The sequence below is a fragment of the Homo sapiens genome, chromosome 5, assembly GCF_000001405.40.
Source record: "Homo sapiens chromosome 5, GRCh38.p14 Primary Assembly".
Taxonomy (NCBI): Eukaryota; Metazoa; Chordata; class Mammalia; order Primates; family Hominidae; genus Homo; species Homo sapiens.
Genome location: NC_000005.10, coordinates 19,017,490 through 19,019,267, shown reverse-complemented (window position 1 = coordinate 19,019,267; position 1,778 = coordinate 19,017,490).

Below are 1,778 nucleotides of genomic sequence, written 5' to 3'. Positions count from 1 at the left end.
AGGAAATCCACAGGAATTGCAGGATCACTGTGTTGGTTCCTTCTAGAAGGAGACAAAAAGTTAAAAAGTAAAACATCTTCAGAAAGGGACAGAGCAAGGCCAAAGGAAGCCTGAAACCAATGCAGTCCACCAGCAGCAAAGAAAGAGCTTTGCAACTCTGTTAGCTTGTTGTCCCAGGCAAGTAGCAAACCCGAGATGAAACCTTGCACCCTGACGTGGATGCCTGCGGCTGTTGATAACTGAAAAGAGCAGGCTGGGTTATTAGTGTGGGGTTGAGAAACAACAACAATCCTTTTATCAGGCAGACGCATTTCCCTGACCACAGTCAATAAAAATTTCCATAGTTAACTCTGCTTTCAGATGTTTTTCTTCTGTTCGATATTTTGTGGTAACAAAAAATGTTTTACCATGACATAACAAACAGGCAGTTAGAATGCTAACTATGATTCTCAAGTGAAAATATTTCATTTGCTGAAGGCTTGCTACTTCAAATGAGTTTATCCTGGCAGTGTAATATTACTTTTTGCAAAATAGGAACTGAAACTGGCTTTGTCTGAGATTATCGATTCATTTATTTTTTTAAAATAAAGTTTGGGGTAAAGAGTTTTATTTCTGACACATTCCCCAGAATGTAAAAAATTTACCTTCTTGGTTTAAAATGTATTGATGGATTAAATTATTCTTAGAATGGTTGTGTAAGCTGATATATTATAGCATTAATTATATTTTAACATAATTTGCAGAATGAGAAATAGGAAACATAAACTAGAATGTTAAGTTGAATAAAAATGCATGTTTGTACCTTTGTTGTCTCAAAGTTTATGAATATTTGTGAATCAGAACTTGAGTAGCAAAATGTCAGCCTCTGCCTTTTTCTTTCATAGCATCAATGCTCTTCATTCTCCTCGAGTTTGCTAAATGCTGCTTTAGATACAAGAATAATAAGAGATAAGAACAGAAAAGAGGAGAAAAGAAAGGAGGAAATGATAAATAAGTGAAAGCAGCATTTCATGCAGCATTAAAGACACTCATAAAAAACATTCTGTGGCAATCCTTTTTCTAAGATCCTGTTGCTATTCTATCTTAAATATAAGGAACTAAAATTCTACTGGAATAGAAGCTTTCTCACTTACCATCACTCTTTTATGTGAGCTTACAAATTTTGTAAATATGCAGAAAATCTTCTACATAACAACAGAAAAAGTTCTGATACTTTTAAAGCATAATTACAAGCATTTTTGAGCATGTCTAATCAGGTCACTGATGAATAGCTGGGCTACTTCATTTGTACTCATAGAATAGACAAGCAGCACATTCATAATCCTCCAATGACAAGGATCATATAACACTTTAAGGAGGCTACTGAAATAAAACACCCTCGATAACCTTTACTAACAGCAAAAGTGAAATATTTCTGTATGGTTAAAACAACTTGCCATTTTGCTTAACTCAGAACCTGTAGTCACTGTCTGCAATATACTTTTTATTTCTTTTTTTTTTAATTATACTTTAAGTTTTAGGGTACATGTGCACAACATGCCGGTTTGTTACATATGTATACATGTGCCATGTTGGTGTGCTGCACCCATTAACTCGTCATTAACATTAGGTATATCTCCTAATGCTATCCCTCCCCCAGCCTCCACCCCACAACAGGCCCCGGTGTGTGATGTTCCCCTTCCTGTGTCCATGTGTTCTCATTGTTCAATTCCCACTTATGAGTGAGAACATGCAATGTTTGGTTTTCTGTCCTTGCGATAAGTTGCTGAGAATGATGG